Genomic DNA, 3,273 nt, shown 5'->3' with positions numbered 1-3,273 from the left:
AAGTAGCTGGGACTACAGGTGTGCATCATCACATCTGGCTAAATATTTTTGTGTTTTTAGTACAGAAGGGGTTTCACCATGTTGGCCAGGATGGTCTTGAACTCCTGACCTCAAGTGATCTGCCTGCCTCAGCCTCCTGAAGAGCTGTGATTACAGACGTGAGCCACTGTGCCTGGCCTAGGTAAGGCATTCTTAGTCGCAAGATGGGATAGGAGGTCAGCACAATTTACAAGTCACAAAAACCCTGCTGATAAAACAGGACATGGTAAAGAAGTCAACCAAAACCAAGATAGTGATGAAAGTGACCTCTGGTCATTCTCACTCCTTGTTATATGCTAATTATAATATATTAGCATGCTAAAAGACACTCCCACCAGTGCCATGACAGTTTACAAATGCCATGGCAACATCCAGAAGTTACCCTGTATGATCTAAAAGGGGGAGGAACCCTCAGTTCTGGGAATTGCCCACCTCTTTCCCAGAAAACTCATGAATAATCCACCCCTTGTTTAGCATATCATCAAGAAATAACTGTAAGTATAGTCAGTTGAGAAGACCATGCCGCCACTCTGCCTATGGAGTAGCTATTCTTTTATTCATTTTACTCTATAGCCTGGCCCCAAATTATTTCTTGCACAAGGTCCAAGAACCTTCTCTTGAGTTCTGGATTGGGACCCTTTCTGGTAACATCTGGGCCAATTCTGTAGTTTGAGTGTAAGAAATCTGCCTCAGATTTCTTACATTCCAACTTCAGATCATGAGTTTAGTTTTCAAAATGTCATATTCCCCAAGGATAATTTATCATTATATTTGTTCCTTGGTCTGTGGTGGTTGATTCCAGGACCCTGCAGATAAAAAAATCCACAGATGCTCAAGTACCTTATTTAAAAGGGTCTACTATTTCATATAGCCAATGCACATCCTCCTGTAAAATTTTAATCTCTAAACTACTTATAATACCTAATACAATGTAAATGCTATGTAAATAGTTTTTATACTACCCACCTCCCAGGTTCAAGTGATCCCCCCACCTCAGCTTCCACAGTAGCTGAGACTACAGATGCACACCACCATGCCCAGCCAATTTTTGTACTTTTTGTAGAAACAGGATTTCACCATGTTACCCAGGCTGGTCTCAAACTCCTCAGCTCAAGCGATCCTCCCACCTCAGCCTCCCAAAGTGTTGATATTACAAGTGTGAGCCACCACACCTGGACTATATTAATTTTATTGTACTTTTTAATGCTATATTTTTCAGATATTTTCTCCCTGTGGTTGGCTGGATCCACAGATGTGGAACCAACAGTCTTGAAACCTGTGGGTATGGGGGGCAGACTGTACAATGGTCATTTTGGGAGAAGTTTGATATAATCAAAATTGTTCATTTACAAGCAACCTTAGAATTAATGGGAACCAAAATTTCAAACATCCAATTGTCTGTAAATTTTTATTGGTATAAGGAAGCATTTAAAAGGAATTCCAATTTCAAAATTGTTTGCCTAAGAACATTCTTGGCCAAAACATAAGAAAATGTGAAAAACATAAAACAATCTCCCTTTTCGATACTCTCAAATCACATGATGAACCTAATGCCTTTATCGTGCCATTGCTTTTCCACTGCACTACACACCCCCATTTCCCTCTGCTCCTATCTCTCTGTCTGACACACTGCCCTTCCCTCCCAAGTAGCCAGAAACCCCCAAAGCTCAACCAGCTCTTAAATTTTTCCACAGAAAAGGGAAAGCTTCTGTAGCGGCCAAGGGAAAACTTCTCCTTCACCCTCTGAAGGCTGGCTGAAAATCAACTAACAAAAGGCAGATTAAAAGGAGAAAAGGCATGCAAATATATTAACATGCATAGGGGAGGACCACGGAGTGATTACCAACCACATATTCCAGTGGGACCCAGATACTTATATAGCCTTTTACTAGAGGGCAGGGTGTAGGAAGGGAATAAAAGTAATGCTGATGAGGGTCAATGAATGATTACTAGGGAGAATGAATGGGTTGGGGAACAGAGGTTAATTTATAAATGGTTCTCTTTGAAAATTGAATGAGCCTGAGAGACAGACATTATCTTGTGAAAGAGTCTGTCCAGGTGTGGTTACATTCTTCAGTCTCTTTTTCTGCGGGAAATAATGAGATGAAATAACAAGGAGGGGAAGAAAAATAATTGTCCTCCTTGGTTCGACCCTCTGGTCTTTATATAGATGGGCAGAAGTCTCTTCTGGCATCTGTTGAACTTGAAGGGTCTTTATTTATTTATTTTTGAGATGAAGTCTCACTCTGTCACCCAGGCTGCAGTGCAGTGGCATGATCTCAGCTCACTACAATCTCTGCCACCTGGGTTCAAGTGATTCTCCTGCCTTGGCCTCCTGAGTAGTTGGAACTACAGGCATGCACCACCACGCCCAGCTAATTTTTTTGTATTTTTAGTGGAGATGAGGTTTCAACATGTTGGTCAGGCTGGTCTTAAACTCCTGACCTCAAATGATCTGCACACCTGGGCCTCCCAAAGTGCTGGGATTACAGGCATGAGCCACCACTCTTGTCCTTTAATGACCTTTAATCCTGTCTGGCCTCTGAGCCCAAGATAAGCCATCATATCCCCTGTGACCTGCACATACACATCCAGATGGCCGGTTCCTGCCTTAACTGATGACATTCCACCACAAAAGAAGTGAAAATGGCCTGTTCCTGCCTTAACTGATGACATTGTCTTGTGAAATTCCTTCTCCTGGCTCATCCTGGCTCAAAAGCTCTGCCACTGAGTACCTTGTGACCCCCACTCTGCCCGCCAGAGAACAACCCCCTTTGACTGTAATTTTCCTTTACCTACCCAAATCCTATAAAATGGCCCCACCCCTATCTCCCTTCGCTGACTCTCTTTTCGGACTCAACCCACCTGCCCCCAGGTGAAATAAACAGCTTTATTGCTCACACAAAGCCTGTTTGGTGGTCTCTTCACATGGACACGCATGAAAAATCCAAATACACATTATACCAGGAAGCCACATTTTGGGGTGAAATACTTTGGTTTCCTTCACTTCTTATGGTTGATTTTGAGTTCTGGTCTCAGTCTGAGCTGACAGCCATTTTCAGAAAGTTTCTAAAGCCTAGAAATTTGCAGAGGAATGTAGAATAGTTTTAGAAACAAACAAGCCAGTGTGTCCAGTTCTGTACCAATTAACTAAGTGATTAGTGGAAATTCAGATGCAGAAAATTAAAAGAATAGGCAGAACAGGAAGATCTCAAGGGTAACCCCAAAATAGCC

The 3,273-nt window shown here is 42.3% G+C and overlaps 1 annotated feature.

The window, feature by feature from the left end:
- Window positions 2,447-2,966: an enhancer, noted in NCBI's record as "OCT4-NANOG hESC enhancer chr6:145190998-145191517 (GRCh37/hg19 assembly coordinates)". NCBI's record gives its function as "activates a minimal SCP1, AML or CMV promoter by ChIP-STARR-seq in primed H9 embryonic stem cells {active_cell/tissue: H9 hESC(primed)}" and the evidence as "EXISTENCE:reporter gene assay evidence [ECO:0000049][PMID:30033119]".

This window comes from Homo sapiens, chromosome 6 (genome assembly GCF_000001405.40).
Source record: "Homo sapiens chromosome 6, GRCh38.p14 Primary Assembly".
Lineage (NCBI taxonomy): Eukaryota > Metazoa > Chordata > Mammalia > Primates > Hominidae > Homo > Homo sapiens.
Note: the sequence above shows the minus strand (reverse complement) of the source record. Positions and strands in the feature narration are given on the sequence as shown.